General features: G+C 48.5%; 1 protein-coding gene across 12 annotated transcripts in view, besides 6 other annotated features; it reads left to right on the top strand.

The window, feature by feature from the left end:
* Positions 1 to 19,244, top strand: part of ANKS3 (ankyrin repeat and sterile alpha motif domain containing 3) — a 37,761-nt gene that overhangs the window by 1,696 nt on the left and 16,821 nt on the right. For 2 of the 12 annotated variants that reach the window (NR_040252.2, NM_001324130.2), the window contains exons 2-6: positions 2,425 to 2,596; positions 5,399 to 5,597; positions 5,722 to 5,917; positions 7,745 to 7,826; positions 18,390 to 18,525. Coding sequence is in view for 10 of the 12 variants with exons in the window: in XM_011522372.2 (XP_011520674.1) it covers positions 2,425 to 2,596; positions 5,399 to 5,597; positions 5,796 to 5,917; positions 7,745 to 7,826; positions 18,390 to 18,525 (711 nt within the window). In the remaining 2 variants the exon portion in view is untranslated. Of the gene's footprint in view, positions 1 to 996; positions 1,065 to 2,424; positions 2,597 to 5,398; positions 5,598 to 5,721; positions 5,918 to 7,744; positions 7,827 to 15,087; positions 15,134 to 18,389; positions 18,526 to 19,244 lie in introns of those variants that run through there. The other 10 variants (XM_011522373.2, XM_011522372.2, NM_001242929.2 and 7 more) reach the window with 8 other exon arrangements.
* Positions 13,324 to 13,925: an enhancer, noted in NCBI's record as "H3K27ac-H3K4me1 hESC enhancer chr16:4768652-4769253 (GRCh37/hg19 assembly coordinates)". NCBI's record gives its function as "activates a minimal SCP1, AML or CMV promoter by ChIP-STARR-seq in naive and primed H9 embryonic stem cells {active_cell/tissue: H9 hESC(naive and primed)}" and the evidence as "EXISTENCE:reporter gene assay evidence [ECO:0000049][PMID:30033119]".
* Positions 13,324 to 14,528: a biological region, named in NCBI's record as "H3K27ac-H3K4me1 hESC enhancers GRCh37_chr16:4768049-4768651 and GRCh37_chr16:4768652-4769253".
* Positions 13,774 to 14,068: a silencer, noted in NCBI's record as "tiled region #8628; K562 Repressive non-DNase unmatched - State 16:ElonW". NCBI's record gives its function as "represses a minimal TATA promoter and a strong SV40 promoter by Sharpr-MPRA in K562 cells {active_cell/tissue: K562}" and the evidence as "EXISTENCE:reporter gene assay evidence [ECO:0000049][PMID:27701403]".
* Positions 13,926 to 14,528: an enhancer, noted in NCBI's record as "H3K27ac-H3K4me1 hESC enhancer chr16:4768049-4768651 (GRCh37/hg19 assembly coordinates)". NCBI's record gives its function as "activates a minimal SCP1, AML or CMV promoter by ChIP-STARR-seq in naive H9 embryonic stem cells {active_cell/tissue: H9 hESC(naive)}" and the evidence as "EXISTENCE:reporter gene assay evidence [ECO:0000049][PMID:30033119]".
* Positions 17,655 to 18,294: an enhancer, noted in NCBI's record as "OCT4-H3K4me1 hESC enhancer chr16:4764283-4764922 (GRCh37/hg19 assembly coordinates)". NCBI's record gives its function as "activates a minimal SCP1, AML or CMV promoter by ChIP-STARR-seq in naive and primed H9 embryonic stem cells {active_cell/tissue: H9 hESC(naive and primed)}" and the evidence as "EXISTENCE:reporter gene assay evidence [ECO:0000049][PMID:30033119]".
* Positions 18,295 to 18,936: an enhancer, noted in NCBI's record as "OCT4-H3K4me1 hESC enhancer chr16:4763641-4764282 (GRCh37/hg19 assembly coordinates)". NCBI's record gives its function as "activates a minimal SCP1, AML or CMV promoter by ChIP-STARR-seq in naive and primed H9 embryonic stem cells {active_cell/tissue: H9 hESC(naive and primed)}" and the evidence as "EXISTENCE:reporter gene assay evidence [ECO:0000049][PMID:30033119]".

Genomic DNA, 19,244 nt, shown 5'->3' with positions numbered 1-19,244 from the left:
TGAGTACTGAGACTACAGGCGCCCACCACCACACCCAGCTAATTTTTGTAATTTTAGTAAAGATGGGAGTTCACCATTTTGGCCAGGGTGGTCTCGAACTCCTGGCCTCAAGTGGTCCGTCACGCTTGGTCTGGTTCTCATTGTCCTTCAGACCTCTGGGGATGTCAGATATGCAAGTCTCCAGTAAATAGAGAACACGGCCTCACCCTGCAGGAGGCCTTTGGCGTGGAAGAGACATGCCCAGTGAAGGCTTGAGGGAGGTATGGAAGGGACTCTGAACTGACCCTCAGCTCGTTTGGTTTCTTATCCAGGCTTCGTTGGCCAGGGCTGTTAGGGTGGGATTCTCACCTGCAAAGTGAGGGAAGGGCACTGCACGATCTTGGGCTCTGCTAGCTGAAGAGGTGGTGGCTCCAGGAAGGAGGGCTTTGCTTGCCCCACCGCACCTACACACACTCTTCACCAAGGGTCTGTGAAGTGTTCGTCTCCCACATTGGTGGCTTGTTTCTTTAGCCATCTTGGCTGTCACCTGGGGCTTGGAAGCATTCTTTAATAGAAACTGAGGTCCTCATCGCATCTATTAACTACCATAGCACCTGTAGGTCATCACAACCTGACAAGGCCTTTGTTTTCGCCTTTGCTCCCTTTCCTACCCTTGTTTCCTGGCACTCTTGTACCTAAGGATTCTACTAGGAAGCTGATGACCTTGCCTTGATTTGGGGATTCCTGGTGTGCCGTTACCCATGTAGGCCCATCTCGGGGAAAGTGTTACCTCACCAGTTCACCGGCCTGTTATATTTCCCCCCATAGCTCTCTCTTCAAAGGATGCCTAAGTGGATTCCTATTCAGTTGACGGTTGCTGCGTGCCACCAGTCACATCCTGGTTTGTCTGTTGGGGAATTGCTTTCTATTTTTTTCAGAAAAATTTATTTTTACTTTTTTGAAATTTTCAATTTCATAACCATTCCAGAAAAATTAATTTATATTTAAAATTTACAGGCCAGGTGCAGTGGCTCACGCCTATATTTCCAGGACTTTGAGAGGCTGAGGCGGGCGGATCACCTGAGGTGAGGAGTTCGAGACCAGCCTGGCCAACATGGTGAAACCCCCGTCTCTACTAAAAATACAAAAATTAGCCTAACATGATGGCGCACACCTGTAATCTCAGCTATTCAGGTGGCTGAGGCTCAAGAAGCCCTTAAACCCAGGAGGCAGAGGTTCCAGTGAGCTGAAATCATGCCACTGCACTCCAGCCTGGGCAACAGAGCGAGACTGTCTCAAAAAAATAAATAAAATTTACATACAGTAAAATTCATTTTGGTGTTCAGTTCTGTGGTTTCATAAAGGCATGGAGTCACAGATCCACCGTCACAGTCATACAGGTCTATCGTCCCCCAAATTCCCTCTCTGCCCCAACCTCCAACCCTTTAATTTTGCCTTTTCCAGAATGTCATGTAAGTGAAATTATACTGTAGGCAGGCTTCTTCCATTTAGCGTAAATCATTTGAAATTCATTCACGTGTTGCATGTCAACTGTTGGATCCTTGTGTTTAATGCTGAGTAGCATCCATTATATGGATGTGCCACCGTTTGTTTATCCATTCTTTTATGTATCATAATAGCAGCCTTTTTAGATATGTCCCCGTTAGACAGTGAGGCACTAGGGATTGGAGTTGCTAAGTAGCAGAGCTGCTTTTTTGTTGTTTTTTTTTTTTGTTTTGTTTTTGGAGACAAAGTCTTGCTCTGTTTCCCAGGCTGGAGTGCAATGGCGTGATCTTGGCTCACCGCAACCTCCGCCTCCTCAGTTCAAGTGATGCTCCTACCTCAGCCTCCCGAGTAGCTGGCCTTCATGCCCAGCTAATTTTTGTATTTTTAGTAGAGACAGGATTTCACCATGTTGGCCAGGCTGGTCTTGAACTCTTGACCTCAAGTGATCTGCCCACCTTGGCCTCCCAAAGTGCTGGGATTACAGGTGTGAGCCACCGCACCGGGTCCAAGCTGAATTTTGATCAAACCCCAAATCCAGGGTTCTTCCCCACCACATCAAGGAACTGATTGGGTTAAACAACCCAATTAGCATTTCTTCACTGCCCATCCAAGAGGTTGTCAGGTTCCTAGAGTTGGTGGAGAATTCTCTTTTACCTGGTGCCTGCGGTTGGAAGGAGGAGCAGGTACTCCACAGTTAATGCCTCACCATATGTGCTCCTCTTTACTGGTGTGATAGCAGGCTCACCAGATTTAGCATGGTTGGGACTGCCCAAAGCATACATTATTTCAGCAAATAAATTTGTCTGAGTTACTCCCGGGGTTGACTGCACTGGGTTATCAGTCTGCTAGTGCAGTGGTGTAGCAGGGGCAGGACCAGCCTGTTTCATGCCCTGGAACAACCAGCCAGGAAAGATCTAACCCTTGGGCCTTCCTCCTCAGTGATGTCCGAGCTCAGCGATGAAGCCAGCGAGCCGGAACTCCTGAACCGCAGCTTGTCCATGTGGCACGGGCTCGGGACACAGGTCAGCGGGGAGGAGCTGGATGTCCCCCTGGATCTTCACACAGCTGCTTCCATTGGCCAGTATGAAGTGGTGAAGGAGTGTGTGCAGCGGTAAGAGATCTCGGGGAACTTCCTCTCACATTTTGAGCAGCGCAGTGATGGCTTCGATCCCACGTGATGGGGCTTTGCACACAGTTGTGGATGTTTAATGCGTGTAGAATAGGTTAACCTGCTTATCTCAGGCAGCTGTCAGTAAGTATTGATGCTGAGCCCTGACAAAGAGGCCGTTTTTATTCCTAGGAAGAAAAAGAGGGAGTAAACTTTGATCAGAAGCTTATAAACAGTCATTCTTTAACCAGACTAATTTTATTCACTAATTGCAGAAATGCCCAAACAAACAAGCAAAATAAAAATAAAGACAGAAAGTGATGGCCTGGTGCGGTGGCTCACACTTGTAATTCCAGCACTTTGGGAGGCTGAGATGGGCGGGTCACTTGAGGTCAGGAGTTTGAGACCATTCTGGATAACATGATGAAACCCCATCTCTACTAAAAATATAAAAGTTAGCTGGGTGTGGTGGCATGTACCTGTAATCCCAGCTACTCAGGAGGCTGAGGCAGGAGAATCGCTTGAACCCGGGAGGTGGAGGTTACAGTGAGCTGAGATTGCGCCACTGCACTCTAGCCTGGGCAACAGAGTGAGACTCTGTCTCAAAAACAAAAAAAAGAAAAAAGAAAGTGATCCCTGGCCTTCTTTTCCCGGAGGGTTCATTCGATCCCTGTGATCCCTGTTCCCCTCTAGCTTCTGCCATGGAGGAGGAGAGAGGCTGGGCTTTCAGTGCCTCTGGGGAATGACCTCCCGACGTCACTGCCCACCTGCCCTTTGCTAATCTGTGTACAATAGTTAGAGACAATATAAAGCCCCTGGCAGGGTCCATGGCTGCGTCTTGCCCATAGTAGGATGTGATCATCTTGTTTTTGGAAAAGGGTCGTCTCCTCACTTCCACCCCCTTATGTTCCACACACAGCCTAACTCTGTCTCCTGGTTCTCATTTGATATTGTGGTGCAGCGACCTCTCTTCCTCTCTCTGCGTGCCTCTTCCAGTTCCCAGTGAGCCAAAGCAAAGCATTGCTGAAGCCCCAGGTCTCCGGTTCCCAAGTTGTGGCCCTCACTTAGACATACCCAGCCCATGGAGTGCTGGTGCACCTTGGTACAGGGTGGTCTGTTGCGCTCCCTCCACAGGAGGCTCTAGGCATAGGCAGCTGGGTATGCAGTCAGTACGGCCCCTCAAAGGGTCACGTTTGGAATTCTCAGGCTCTTAAGTCTTTGGGTGTCCTGTTAAGATGCAGAGTCCATAACCGCTCCATAGAGGAGCAGGGGGAGGCGTTTGTGTTGTGATGGGATTTTGACACTAGCTGAGGTGGAGGCTTGCTGATAGTAAGCACAGGATGGGGCCTGAGGGGAGCTGGGGGCATCAGAAGGAAGGGGTGGGGCTGAACGAGGAGTGGTAAGAGAGCCCCAGGGAGATGCTCTGCTGTTGTGTAAAGGAAGATAGTGTTAGGACGAGCTGGGTGCATTCGAGCCCTGCTGCAGAGGCATCTCCATGCAGCCCCCCTGGCCAGGGGCTGCCACTGAACCCTGGTATCAGGACCTTCTGGAATGGCTGCCCAGGTGTGCATCCCAGAGTCACTGAGGGCTGCCAGGCAATGGAAGGTAGTTGCCTGCTGTGGTCTAATATGTGAATCCCGGCTGGGCGCGGTGGCTCACGCCTGTAATCCAGCACTTTGGGAGGCTAAGGCGGGTGGATCACGAGGTCAGGAGATCGAGACCATCCTGGCTAACACGGTGAAACCCCATCTCTACTAAAAATACAAAAAACTAGCTGGGCGTAGTGGCGGGCGCCTGTAGTCCCAGCTACTTGGGAGGCTGAGGCAGGAGAATGGCGTGAACTTGGGAGGCGGAGCTTGCAGTGAGCCGAGATCGCGCCACTGCACTCCAGCCTGGGCGACAGAGCGAGACTCTGTCTCAAAAAAACAACAAAAAAGTGAATCCCGTAAAAGGGACAGATCCTGGGGTTCAGTCACCAGTTGTTATCCCCTCTGCAGGCAAGAACTGGGGAAGGGAAAGAAGGCCTGTGGGCGTTAACCATGTAGGATCCCAGGTAACCATGCAAGTGGGTATTATTTTAAATGTGACTCCCTTGTCCCAACCCCAGAGTCGCAGCTAGGAAGCCCACAGTTTTTTCCCATGGGAAAATGCATTGCCAGAATTTTAACAGCAATCAGTGAGAAAGATGGGATTCTTTGGTCACAGATTTTTCAAGAATGTTTCTTTAAGGTGAGGTGACAAAGGATGAATCAGTGGCGGTGGGACTTGTCCACGGTGGAGTCCCTTCTTTCCTCACTGCTCCTCTCCACCCAGCAGTGGGCTAGTAGATGCCAGGCCTGTGGTGGTCAGGGTTTTTCAACTGTGGCTGTGTTGACAATCCAGGCTGGATCATTCTTTGCTGTGGGGGCTGTCCTGGACACTGTGGGATGTTTAGCGGCAGCCTTGGCCTCCAGCAGCCCTTCCCTGCCCAGTTGTGAGAACCAAAAATGCCTTCACACATTGCCACATATTCCCTGGTTGAGTGCCATCTGCCTATCTGGTGGTGTGAAAGAGCATAGCTGGCCTTGGGCTAGGAGGATGCGAAATCAGAGCAAGGAGACGAAGGCTCAGGGCCTCACAAGGCAGTGTACGAGCAACTGTCAGCATTTTTCTGCCTGCCTGCCTCCAATCCCCACAACGTCCAGGGTGGCAGATAACTTCTGCTTCCTGTCAACTCATCCCGCCTGGCCTAGCCTCGCCACCAGCTTTGGTGAACCCCACATGCGAGGCGGCTGGCCATGTCTAGCATATCTTGCGTTTGTTTAGGAGAGAGTTAGATTTGAATAAGAAGAATGGTGGTGGCTGGACCCCGCTGATGTATGCCTCCTACATTGGCCACGACACAATCGTGCACCTGCTGCTTGAGGCGGGGGTGAGTGTGAATGTGCCGACCCCAGAAGGGCAGACTCCACTGATGCTGGCCTCCAGCTGTGGCAACGAGAGCATCGCCTACTTTCTTCTCCAGGTGAGCTACGAGGGAACTCAGGCCCAGAAACCTGAGGGGCTCCGTGGCCACCCTGACAGAGATGCGAACCACTGCAGGCCACGGTGTTCGTGTGTGCTCGTGTAATCACTTCTGATTCTTGCAGCATGGCCGCCTGGAGGGCGCCCGCCCCACGCAGAGGAGATGAGGCCGTAACGCACGTTCTGTGTTCTCTTGAAGCAAGGTGCAGAGCTAGAAATGAAAGACATCCAGGGCTGGACAGCCCTCTTCCACTGTACCAGCGCCGGGCACCAGCACATGGTCAGGTTCCTCTTGGACAGTGGAGCCAATGCCAACGTGAGGTGATTGCCACATCTTTAGTGGCCACAGGAGTGGCCTAGGTGTCATCTGACTCTAAGGAGGGTGGCTCTGGAGGCAGCTAACCAGAGTTTAGGGCCACCCTGCTTCGGCACGAGAGGCTCAAGATGAGGGGTAGGACCAGAGTCCTTCCAGGCACAGGCCTTTTCGTACATCTGTGAGATGCATCTCTTCAAGCCCTCTCAGCTTCCTTTTCTTTATCTGAAACCCACCTGGGTCATACAGTTGTAAGAATTACATGTTTTATTGTATGCCAGGGGCCTAACATACTGAATGGCATTTAAATGTCATACATTACATGCAAATTCCTTCCATTTTCTTGCTTTTTGTATGGATGAGGTGAGGTGATGCTTTGAAACAGTCATGAGGCCGGGCGTGGTGGCTCACGCCTGTGATCCCAGCTCTTTGGGAGGCCGAGGTAGGCAGATCACGAGGTCAGGAGATCGAGACCATCCTGGCTAACATGGTGAAACCCCATCTCTACTAAAAATACGAAAAAATTAGCTGGGCATGGTGACGGGCGCCTGTAGTCCCAGCTACTCGGGAGGCTGAGGCAAGAGAATGGTGTGAACCCGGGAGGTGGAGCTTGCAGTGAGCCGAGATTGCACCACTGCACTCCAGCCTGGGTGACAGAGCAAGACTCCATCTCAAAAAAAAAAAAACAAAAACAACAGTCATGAGTTTTGGCCGGGCTCAGTGGCTCACACCTGTAATCCTAGCACTCTGGGAGGCCAAGGCGGGCAGATCATGAGGTCAGGAGTTCGAGACCAGTCTGGCCAACATGGTGAAACCCCGTCTCTACTAAAAATACAAAAATTAGCTGGGCGTGGTGGCAGGTGCCTGTAATCCCAGCTACTCGGGAGTCTGAGGCGGGAGAATCACTTGAAACCAGAAGGCAGAGGTTGCAGTGAACTGAGAGATCGTGCCACTGCACTCCAGCCTGAGCAACAAGAGCAAAACTCTGTCTCAAAAACAAACAAAAAACCAGTCATGAGTTTTATAAGTTGGAAGTGGGATTGTTGTCTAAAGCTTGTCATGATAATAATCACCTTTGAACAAACGCAGCGGGTACCAATGCAGCACCCACCCTGGCTGTCATTCATTCTAAGACACCTGATAATTTTGTATGCCACTAAGAAAGAAAAAATATGCTACTAATTAACATTCAACTCGCCTGTTGATTTAAAGATGTTTTCTGACTTGAGAGATGTTAAAATATGAACACTGTGTGTCTTAAGATGGATGAAAACCAGCATTTCCCATGCATGGTTCCTGACTTCCAAACCAGCATGAGACAAGGAGGGATTTGGAAGCCCTCTGAAGACAGTGCCGAGTTAGCATAACCAAGCATGAAAAGCAAGCTTCAGGAGCTAAGCGTGGCAAAGATAGCTTAGATCATTAGTACTTGAACTTTTCAGAGTGGGTTCATGGAGGACGTTGAACTTGAAGCCAGGATTTGGATGAATGGATGGGAGATGCTGGCTTTCTGTGAGGAATTAGAACAGCTTTTTGAATATGATTGAGGTGGAGATTTCAGAGGTAGCCAGTGGGAATAGCCAACAGGTGGGACGACAGGCAGACATCTGTCTTTAGGACAAAGACCAGCCCTGGGGACAGACACCAGAAGAGTAAATGGAGCTGATGTGTTATATTCACTGTTCTCATGTCACCTGTTAATTCTGGAAAGGGACAGTGTTCTACGCTTAGGGATCGGTGACTCGTGCACTGCTCAGGGTTTATCTTCAGCAGGGAGTTTTTGCCTGGCGGAACTTGTCTCTTCCAATCATCTGACTGTGGCCCACATCTTGCAGGGAGCCGATATGTGGATTTACTCCCTTGATGGAAGCAGCTGCTGCTGGCCATGAGATAATCGTGCAGTATTTTCTGAATCACGTAAGTGACCCTGATTATTAGCATGTAATGTAGTCACGGCAAATGAGGAATCATATTACTGAAGTATAAGCTATTACAGAATTTTCCTTTGCACAGAAATAACTTTCATTCATTTATTCAACACATTTTCATTATCTATTGACGCCCGGTGTTGAGTGGTGCTTAGGCATTAAGGATACAGTGGTGAGTAGAAATAGACACCTATTCCTGTAATAATTTTGAAAATACTATCTGAAAATTATGGAAAAATATTTTAAAAGTAAATAGCACTCATAATCCTGTCACTTAGAAAAATTATATAGAATAAGAAGGCAGAGATCCTCCTCTCTTTTTCAACCTCCCTGATGCCCACTTGGTTTGAGAAAGAGCTGCCCTAGGACTTTTCCTCTGCTGTGGAAAGATGTGTCTGTAGGCAAGTGTGTGCACATTGCTTTGTGTTTTGAACAAAGTGGGATTCTACGTATAGTCTGTAACTTAGAGACATCTTATAGACATCTTATCTTTGTACAGTATTCCGTGTACAATCTGCCTCAGTTAATTTAATGAGTTTCTTATTAGTAGAAACTTAGTTTTTAACATTTTGCAATTATAAACAGTGTTCCGGGAATATCCTTTTACACATAGCTTTAATACATTTGCAGTTATTTCTGTATGTTGTATTTCTGTTTTATTTTATTAATTTATTTTTTTGAGACATGGTGTTGCCCTGTATCCCAGGCTGGAGTTCAGTGGCGAGATCGTGGCTCACTGCAGCTTCAGCCTCCTGGGCTCAAGCGATCCTCCTGCCTCAGCCCCCAAGTAGCTGGGACTACAGGTGCATGCTACCATGCCCCGGCTAATTATTTAATTTTTTTTTTTTGGTAGAGTTGGGGGTCTCAGTATGTTGTGCAGGCTAGTCTTGAATTCCTGAGCTCAAGCGATCACCTCAGCCTCCCAAAGTGCTGGGATCACAGGTGCAAGCCTGTCCACACAGAACCTTGTACATAAATATTCATAGCAGTATTATTCATAATTGCCAAAAAGTAGAAAAACCCACAAGTCCATCTACTGAGGAATTGATAAACAAAATATATATCTGTATAGCAGGATATTATTCGGCCCTACAAAGTAATGCAGTACTGCTGCATGCTGCGGCAGGGGTGAACCCTGATGCGTTAGGCTGGGCTGGGTGCGGTGGCGCACGCCGGTAATCCCAACACTTTGGGAGGCTGAGGCCAGAGGGTCGCTTCAGCCCTGGAGTTGGAGGTTGCAGTGAGCTATGATTGCGCCGCCACACTCCATTCTGGGTCACAGAGTGGATCCTGCCTCAAAAAGAAAAAGAAAAGGAAAACATTCGGCTCAGTGAAAGAAGCCAGACACAACAGGCCACACACTAGGTGATTTCACTCATAGGAAATGTCCAGAATAAGCAAATACATAGACAGAAAATAGATGAGTGGTTTCCTGGGTCTTGGGGAATGGGAAGATTGGGGTGATAAAAATGTGCTAAAATTGTTTGTGGTGATGGTTGAACAACTGTGAATATACGAGAAGCCGTTGAATTGTACATTGTAAGTGGGTGACTTGTTGGTATGTGGATTATATCTTTATAAGGCTGTTAAACCCAATGGGGGGAAGTGCAGGCGGTCCTGATGAATTCCCACTACCAAGGTTGTCTGTTGTCCTGCCCACCAGTCATAGACAAAGGTGTCCATTTTCTCTTGTCCTCACCAGTCCTGATGTCAGTCAACCTTTTGTCAATCTGGCGGGTGAATTGTAGCGTCTCATTTTAGTTTGTCCTTGTTAGAGTAGTTGAAATTTTTTTCTTTTTTTTTTTTTTTGGAGACAGAAGTCTTGTGCTGTGTCGCCCAGGCTGGAAGGCTGGAGTGCAGTGGCGTGATCTCGGCTCACTGCAACCTCTACCTCCCAAGTTCAAGCAGTTCTTCTGCCTCAGCCTCCCGAGTAGCTGGGACTGCAGGCACCCGCCCGCACACCTGGCTAATTTTTTGTATTTTAGTAGAGATGAGGTTTCACCATGTTGCCCAGGCTGCTCTTGAACTCCTGAACTCAGGCAATCCACCCACCTTAGCCTCCCAAAGTGCTAGGATTACAGGCATAAGCCACTGCGCCCAGCCAGTTGAACATTTTTAAATTGATTTCTTAGCCATTTGTATTTCTTTTTTTTTTTTTTTTTTGAGACTGAGTCTCACTCAGTCGCCCAGGCTGGAGTACAGTGGCATGATCTCAGCTCACTGCAACCTCCACCTCCCAGGTTTAAGAGATTGTCCTGCCTCAGCCTCCCGAGTAGCTGGGACTAAAAATACAAAAAATCCCGGCTAATTTTTTGTATTTTTAGTAGAGACAAGGTTTCACCGTGTTAGCCAGGATGGTCTCGATCTCCTGACCTCATGATCTGCCCGCCCTGGCCTCCCAAAGTGCTGGGATTACAGGTGTGAGCCACTGTGCCCGGCTGGCCATTTGTATTTCTCTTACGAGCTGTCTATGTTTATTGCCCAATTTTCTATTGGATAGTTTGTTTTTTTCTCACTTATTGGTGGGAATTTCTTAAATAGTGAAAAATTCACATGGTATCTCTTTTTAACAAAGAATTTTGGGACACAACATGCACATGGTACACATGCAGACCAGAAGGTGGGTGCACCGCAGGCCTGTCCCCCACCCTGCCTGCGTCTCCTTGGCACCCTCCCCACGGGCGACTCTGGGAATACACCCACACATGCTCATGGTCCTGCCCCATGTGCAGCTGCTCCCATCTTGCATTTTTTAAAAAACTTAATCATGAAGATTTTTCTATATTGGTGTATAAAGAGACGGGGCCAGGTGCATTGTCTCGCTCCTGTAATCCCAGCACTTTGAGAGGCCAAGGCAGACAGATCACTTGAGGTCAGGAGTTTGAGACCAGCTTGGCCAAGGTGGTGAAACCCGCCTCTACCAAAAATACAAAAATACAAAATACAGGTGGCTGACGCTGTAATCCCAGCTACTTGGGAGGCTGAGACAGGAGAATCACTTGAACCTGGGAGGCAGAGGTTGCGATGAGCCAAGATGTTGCCACTGCACTCCAGCCTGGGTGACAGAGTGAGACTATCTCTAAATAAATAAATAAATAAATAAATAAATAAATCAATAAATCAATAAAGAGATGGGGTCTTGCTCTGTCCCTCAGGCTGGAGTGGAGTGGTGCAGTCTCAGCTCACTGCAGCCTTGACCTCCTGGTCTCAAGTGATCCTCCTGCCTCAGCCTCCCAAGTAGCTGGGATTACAGGTGCGTGCCACCACGCCCAGCCAATTTTTGTATTTTTTTTGTAGAGATGGGGTTTTGCCACGTTGCCCAGGCTGGTCTTGAACTCCTGAGCTCAGGCAGTTCGCCTGCCTCGGTCTCCCAAAGTGCTGGGATTACAGGCACGAGCCAACGCACCCAGCCCCTCTCTTTTTTTTTTTTTTTTGAGATGGCGTCTTGCTCTGTTGCCCAGGCTAGAGTGCAGTGGCACGATCTCGGCTCACTGCAACCTCAGACTTCCGGGTTCACACCATTCTCCTGCCTCAGCCTCCCGAGTAGCTGGGACCACAGGCGCCCGCCACCATGCCCAGCTAATTTTTCATATTTTTAGTAGAGACGGGGTTTCACCGCGTTAGCCAGGATGGTCTCGATCTCCTGACCTCGTGATCCGCCCACCTTGGCCTCCCAAAGTGCTGGGATTACAGGCGTGAGCCACCGTGCCTGGCCTCTCTTTTTTTTTTTTTTTTTTATGGTGGCATGGTATTCCCTGTAGGGATGAATCAGAGTTTTTTTGTTTGTTTGTTTGTTTGTTTTGAGATGGAGTCTCGCTCTGTAGCCCTGGCTGGAGTGCAGTGGCGCAATCTCGGCTCATTGCAACCTCTGCCTCCCAGGTTCAAGCGATTCTCCTGCCTCAGCCTCCTGAGTAGCTGGGATTACAGGCGTGTGCCACCACGCCCAGCTAATTTTGTATTTTTAGTAGACAGGGTTTCGGCATGTTGGTCAGGATGGTCTTGAACTCCTGACCTCAAGTGATCTACCACTTTGGCCTCCCAAAGTGCTGAGATTACAGGCATGAGCCACTGCGCCTGGCCTACCGTTGACATTTCTTACACGTCTTTTTAAGCACATATGGGAATTTCTTCAGGAGCTTAGGATGTGTTCTTCAAAGTAGAGTCTTTGTTGTGTGAGGTGGGTTCAGTCGGTAGTGGGTAGTGTAAACTTGCTTTGTTCCATAGTGGTCCTGGTTCACACCCCTCCCCTTAGGGTGTTAGACTTCTTTTTTTTTTTTGAGATGGAGTCTCTCTCTGTCACCCAGGCTGGAGTGCAGTGGCGCGATCTCGGCTCACTGCAACCTCTGCCTCCCAGGTTCAAGCGATTTTCCTGCCTCAGCCTCCCGAGTAGCTGGGACTGTAGGCACTCGCCACCATGCCCAGCTAATTTTTGTATTTTTAGTAGAGACAGGGTTTCACCATGTTGGCCAGGATGGTCTCAATCTCTTGACCTTGTGACCCGCCCGCCTTGGTCTTCCAAAGTGCTGGGATTACAGGCGTGAGCCACCGTGCCTGGCCTTTTTTTTTTTTTTTTTTTTGGGGTGGGGTCTTGCTCTGTCCCCAAGGCTGGAGTACAGTGGTGTGATCTCAGCTCAGTGCAACTTCTGACTCCCAGGCTCAAGCAATTCGCCTGGCTCAGCCTCCCGAGTAGCTGGGATTCCAGGTGTGTGCCACCATATCCAGCTAATTTTTGTATTTTTAGTGGAGACAGGGTTTCACCATGTTGGCCAGGCTGGTCTCGAACTCCTGACCTCATGATCTGTCTGCCTCAGCCTCCCAAAGTGCTGGGATTACAGGCGTGAGCCACTGTGCCTGGCCAGGATGTTAGACTTTTTGGCTCCCTGGCCATTTGGGTTTCTTTTTCTGCAAATAATTATTTTTGTATTTTTTATTTATTTTTTTTATATAGGGTCTTGCTTTGTCACCACACTAGAGTGCAGTGGCCTGATCATGGGTCATTGTAGTCTCAACCTCCTGGGCTGAAGTAATCCTTCTGCCTCAGCCTCCTCAGTAGCTGGGACTACAGGCACGCACTACCACGCCTGGCTGTTTTTTTTTTGTAGAGACAAAAATCTCACTATGTTGCCCAGGCTGGTCTTGAACTCCTGGCCTCAAGCAATCTTCCCACCTTGGCCTCCCAAAGTGCTGGAGTTACAGACCTGAGCCACCATGCCCGGCCAGATAATTCTTTGACAGATAATCCTGCTGACATGAACTAGACTTCCTTAAGACACATCATAGAATCAATAGCCCAGAACCATAAAGAGCCTCTACTTGTAAGTTTAGAGTCATTTTAAGTAAGGTAGAACTGGAGATCATAAGAGATATGTACTCTTATAATTTTTGATTGTATGTTTGTTTCTTTTTGAGACAGAGTCTCACTCTGTTTGCCCATGCTGGAGCACAGTGGCGCGATCATAGTTTGTTGCAGCCTCAACCTCCCAGGTTCAAGGGATCCTTGCAACTCAGCCTCCTGAGTAGCTGAGACCACAAGCGCATGCTATCACACTAGCTGATTTGATTTTTTTGTAGAGTTGGGGTCTCACTAAGTTGCTTAGGCTGGTCTCAAACTCCTGGCTGCAAGTGGTCCTCCCACCTTGGCCTCCCAAAGCGCTGGGATTACAGGCAGGAACCACGGTGCTTGGCCAACAATTTGCATGCCTTTACCACATTCCCCAAATGTTAACATTTCACCTCATTTTCTTATCAGTCTCTTTATGTATAACATGCATATGTTTTCTGAATCATTTAAATGTAAATTGTGACATAATGCCCCTTTTCCCCTAAATATGTATTTCCTGAGAGTAAGAATTTCATTATGTATTTCCTAAAAGCAAAAATGTTCTCTTTCCCAGTCACACAAAATTATCAGACTCAGGAACTCAACACTGAGTTCTTCCTCCAGCACTTGACAAGAATCAAAGTGTTGGTTAGTGACTGCTTTGGGGGATGGGGCAGGACTGGCAGCAGGTGGCCCGATGGCCTGGGTGGTTTGCCTGCCAGCGATGCTGGTGGGCAAGCCCTGCCTGGAAGCTCCTCTCTCCCACGTTTTTCCTGCCGCCCAGTAGTTAGACCACCTGGAGCCAGAGGAGGGGGCCCACCCGGTTTCCCAGCCTGTCCCTCCAGAGCTGGGCTCCATTTCTGGAGGTAGAGAATGGGGCAAGTCTGGGCATCTTGTGCTCTTTGCTAGGGGAGGAAAGGGCTGTGGCTGCTTTCCTTGTCCCCCATTTCCCTTCTGCCAGTGGGGCCAAGCCCCAGCAGCTCAGTCAGGAGAAGAGGATATGGATCTGTCTGGGCCTCTCTCTTTAAGAGAAAGTTGATTCGTGCCTTCCGGATAGTCTTGTTCCAGGGTTTCTAAACTTTCTGATCCCACCTTCATGTTAAAATGAGTTTTGATCATGTGTCTCTTTAGTAATATGGACATTATAAAATAGGAAAAAAAAGTCTCTTAAAGCCTAAGTAGTTAAAAATTTATTTTCACATCAGGCATAGTGGCTCATGCCAGTAATCCCAGCACTTTTAGAGGCCAAAGTGGGAAGATCGCTTGAGGCTGGAGTTGGAGACCAGTCTGGGCAATACAGTGAGACCTTGTCTCTAAATTAAAAAAAAAAAAAAAAAAAAAATTGGCCAGGCATGGTGGCTCATGCCTGTAATCCCAGCACTTTGGGATGCCAAGGCAGGTGGATCACCTGAGGTCAGGAGTTCAAGACCAGCCTGGCCAACATGGTGAAACCCCATTAGCGGGGCGTGGTGGCGTGCCCCTGTAGTCCCAGCTACTTGGGAGGCTGAGGCGGGAGAATCACTTGAACCCGGAAGGCAGAGGTTGCAGTGAGCCGAGATTGCGCCATTGCACTCCAGCCTGGGTGACAGAGTGAGACTCCGTCTCAAAAAAAAAAAGCCAGTTGTGGTGTGTGTTTGTAATCCCAGGGAGGCTGAGAAGGGAGGATCACTTGAGCTGGGGAGGTCAGGGTTGCAATGAGCCAGTGTAATCCAGCGTGGGCCACAGAGTGAGATTCTGCCTCAAAAACAAAACCAAAAATATATAACGAGTTAAAATCCTACAGTAAAGAGGCTACTGTTTTATTCTGGTTAAACCTTAGGGTTCCTTCTATCAAACTTAAACTAGAATTTTTTTTTTTTCTTGAGATGGAGTCGCCCTCTGTCGCCCAGGCTGGAGTGCAGCAGCTTACTGCAATCTCTGCCTCCCGTGTTGAAGCGATTCTCCTGCCTCAGCCTCCCGAGTAGCTGGGATTACAGGTGTGTGCCACCACTCCCAGCTAACTTTTGTGTTTTTAGTAGATACAGGCTGGTCTCAAACTCCTGACCAGGCTGGTTGTTGGCCAGGCTGGTCTCAAACTCCTGACCTCAAGTGATCCGCCCACCTCAGCCTCCAAAAGTGCTGGGATTACAGGTGTGAGCCTCTGTGCCCAGCCAAGAAATTATTTTTTATTTTTGAGATAGAGTCTTGCTTCGTCTGTTGCCCAGGCTGGTGTGCAGTGGCGTGATCTTGGCTCATTGCAACTTCCACCTCCTGGACTCAGGCAATTCTCCTTCCTCAGCTTCCTGAGTAGCTGGGAGTACAGACGTGTGCCACCACGCCCGGCTAATTTTTGTATTTTTAGTAGAGATGGGGTTTTACCACGTTTTCCCACATTGGCCAGGCTGGTCTTGAACTCCTGACCTCAGGTGATCCACCCGTCTCGGCCTACCAAAGTGCTGGGATTACAGGCTTGAGCCACCGTGCCCAGCTTATAAATTATTGTTATTATTTATTATTATTTTTTTGAGATGGAATCTCAGTCTGTCGTCGAGGCTGTAGTGCAGTGGCGCGATCTCAGCTCACTGCAACCTCCGCCTCCTGGATTCAAGGATTTCTCCTCCCTCAGCCTCCTGAGTAGCTGGGATACAGGCACGCACCACCACACCTGGCTAATTTTTGTATTTTTTAGTAGAGACGGGGTTTCACCACATTGCCCAGGCTGGTCTCGAACTCATGACCTATGATCCACCCACCTTGGTCCCCCAAAGTGCTGGGATTACAGGCGTGAGCCACTGTGCCCGGCCTATAAATTATTTTTTAAGGCACAAAGTCTCATAGGTAATTTTTAATCAGAGTCAAAAGTAGGATGGGGGGCACTCTAGAAAGTAAAACTCCTTATACTTTGTGAAAACACAGTTTTTTGTCCTGTATCCCTGCCCAGAGACCACCTCTGCCTCCCCCACCAACTACATATGGGGGTCAAGGTTGAGGCCCCCTGGTCTAACGGGAGAGACAGTTGCCGTATGGGTGGTAGCAAAACTCCTTAAGGGTTGTGATTTTTTTTTTTTTTTTTTTTTTTGAGTTGGAGTCTCCGTGTGTCGCCCAGGCTGGAGTCCAGTGGTGCGATCTTGGCTCACTGCAACCTCCACCTCCTGGGTTCAAGCGATTCTCCTGCCTCAGCCCCCCGGAGTAGCTGGGACTGCAGGTGCCCACCACCACGCCCGGCTAATTTCTTTTTGTATTTGTAGTAGAGATGAGGATTCACCCTGTTGGCCAGGCTGGTATGGAACTCCTGACCTTGTGCTCCGTCCACCTCGGCCTCCCAAAGTGCTGGGATTACAGGCATGAGCCACGGCGCCTGGCTGTGCCTTTTTTCTCTTAATGATGTTTTGTGCACCCTAGTCCGTGTCACCGCAGGTACTCCCACCCACCACGTAAATGGGCGGGAGGCGCTCTGTTTTCTGGATATGCTCTCACGTAGCTCATTAATCTCTTATTTTAAGTTCCTTCTGATTCTCACTATGCTGAATGCCACAGTGAAAATTCTAAATTGTAGTGTATGTCCTGCATTATTTCCTTAGGCGCCGCTGCACTTCAGCCTGGGTAACAGAGCAAGATCCTATTAAAAAAAAAAAAGCAAACATGCTTATGGTAGTACATTTTAAAAACATAGAAGATTGGAAAATTGGAAAAATCCCCATCAAAAATAGTAAATAACTTAAAAATAGCAACATTTTGGGTATGTTACCTTCCAATATTGTTTTCTGTGTAATTTTTTTGGTCTCATTTTGCCGGAGTTGTAATGTATATGTAGTTTTGTATCATGATCCTTTTTTATTTTTTTGAGACAAGGTCTCGCTCTATTGCCCAGGCTGGAGTACAGTGGTGCGATCTCAGCTCGCTGCAGCGTCAAGCTCTGGGACTTAAGTGATCCTCCTGCCTCAGCCTCCTGAGTAGCTGGGACTACAGGCATGTGCCGCCACACCCTGCTAATTTTTTATTAAAGATGCTCCCCCTTTCCGGGGTCCCGCCTCCTCCTCTGAGCTTTGGCTCTGGCTTCCCTGCCTCCCCCAGCTGCCTGGTCTGACAGGAGAGAAGGACAGTTACAGTGTACAGTGACACCAAAAACATGCTGTATTGATTATAGTTTATTTTTTTTTCTTGTAGAGGTGGGTTCATGCTGTGTTGCCCAGGTTGTTGTCCAACTCCTGAGCCGAGCGATCCACCTGCCTTGGCCTGTCAAATGCTGGGATTACAGGCATGAGCCACCTCACTTGGCCATGATCCTTTTTCAACTTGATCATACAGCTGTTTGTAAATATCACCATCTATGGCAATAACAGAACTGACTGCTTATCCCCCTGAGCATTCAAGTTTTCTCTAGGTAGGTTTTCATTATTGTGAATATGCTGTGCCAAACATCCTTTTTTTTTTTTTTTTTTTTTTTTTGAGACAGAGTCTCACTCTGTCTTCAGGCTGGAGTGCAGTGGCATGATCTCAGCTCACTGCAGCCTCCGCTTCCCGGGTTCAAGCAATTCTCCTGCCTCAGCCTCCCGAGTAGCTGAGACTATAGGCGTTCACCACCACGCCCGGCTAATTTTTGTATTTTTAGTAGAGACGGGGTTTCACCATGTTGGCCAGGATGGTCTCAATCTCCTGACCTCGTGATCTGCCCACCTCGGCCTCCCAAAGTGCTGGGATTACAGGCATGAGCCACCGCACCCGGCCTGTGCCAAACATCTTTGTGCACTAAAGCCTTTTCTGTATTTAGGGTTATTTCCTTAGGGTCATGGAAGTGGAATTGTTGCGCTGCAAGACCTGTAAATACATTATAGAGCTTTGGATCAAAGTTACGAATTCTGCTTCAGAGGATGGTGCTTTCATTCTGACTGGTTTAAAAGGCTGCTTTCTTTGAAGACAAGCGAAGTGAGTGGGACACAGCCCAGGCGCAGAAGGTGAAGGCTGGGATCTCCGCATGGTGGCTGCCAGCCCCCTGCAAGGGAGGTCATGAGCGTGGGAGATGACTCCCCAGCCCCCAGCCCTCCTCATCCTTGTCCCTAAGAAGAGAGTGAGAGCAAAACTTGTGGCTGCGGTGCAGACAAGCCTGCCTCTTTCTCATGCAGATGTGATGTTTCCCACACAGGGAGGCAGTCAGAAACCAGCATATGCCCTTCTGTCTTCCCAGCCAGCAGCCCAGGAAGGGCAGGTGCTTTGAAGGAGAGGCCCCTAACCCCCTTTCACGGACATTCACAGGGAGTCAAGGTGGACGCGAGAGACCACAGTGGAGCCACAGCCCGGATGCTGGCCAAGCAGTACGGACACATGAAGATCGTGGCCTTGATGGACACTTACTCGCCCTCTCTGCCCAAGAGCCTCTATCGGAGCCCAGGTACCCACACCTGCCAGCCGCGCCCTGCTGGGGTCTCTGGTTGCCTTGAGCTTTAGGTGACCTGGCAGAGAAAGATGTCCCCCGCTTCCCCGGCTCCCACCTTCTCTGAGATTTGGCTCTGCCTCCCCCAGCTGCTTACATGTCAAGGTTGAGGCCCCTGCTCTAACAGGAGATAAGGATGGTTACGATGGAGAGTGGTACAAAACCAGGCTGTTGTGAATGTAGAGGCTTTCTGTAGTATGCTTGACTACCGAGTAGGGGCAGGCCCCTCTTAGTTTTCTGTTTTCACTGTTTCCTGAGCTATGGCTTGTTCATTCTTCTATATGAACTTGAATATCAACTTGTCTAGCTCCTTAAAAACAGTATTGATATTTTTACTGAGATTGTGACAATGTATAAATTAACTATATCTTTGTGTTGTTGTCTTATCCAAGAACAAGGGATGACTTCTTGTTCCAATGTACTTTTGGGTCTTGCAGGAGGGTTTTAAATTTTTCTTCATCTACATTTTGCATGTGACTTAAGTTTATTCCTAAGTGTTTGATCATCTTTGTCGCTATTGTAAATGGGGTTTTCCCTATCATTATATCCTTTTTTTCCCCCCAACTCTCAGGGTATTAATTATTCAGTGCTATTTATTTTTTATTTCAGTAGGTTTTTGGAGAACAGGTGGTGGTTGGATACGTGAATAAGTCCTTTAGTGGTGTCATTATATCGTT

The sequence above is a fragment of the Homo sapiens genome, chromosome 16 (assembly GCF_000001405.40).
Source record: "Homo sapiens chromosome 16, GRCh38.p14 Primary Assembly".
NCBI classification, from domain to species: domain Eukaryota; kingdom Metazoa; phylum Chordata; class Mammalia; order Primates; family Hominidae; genus Homo; species Homo sapiens.
This window is presented reverse-complemented; position numbering and strand designations above follow the sequence as displayed.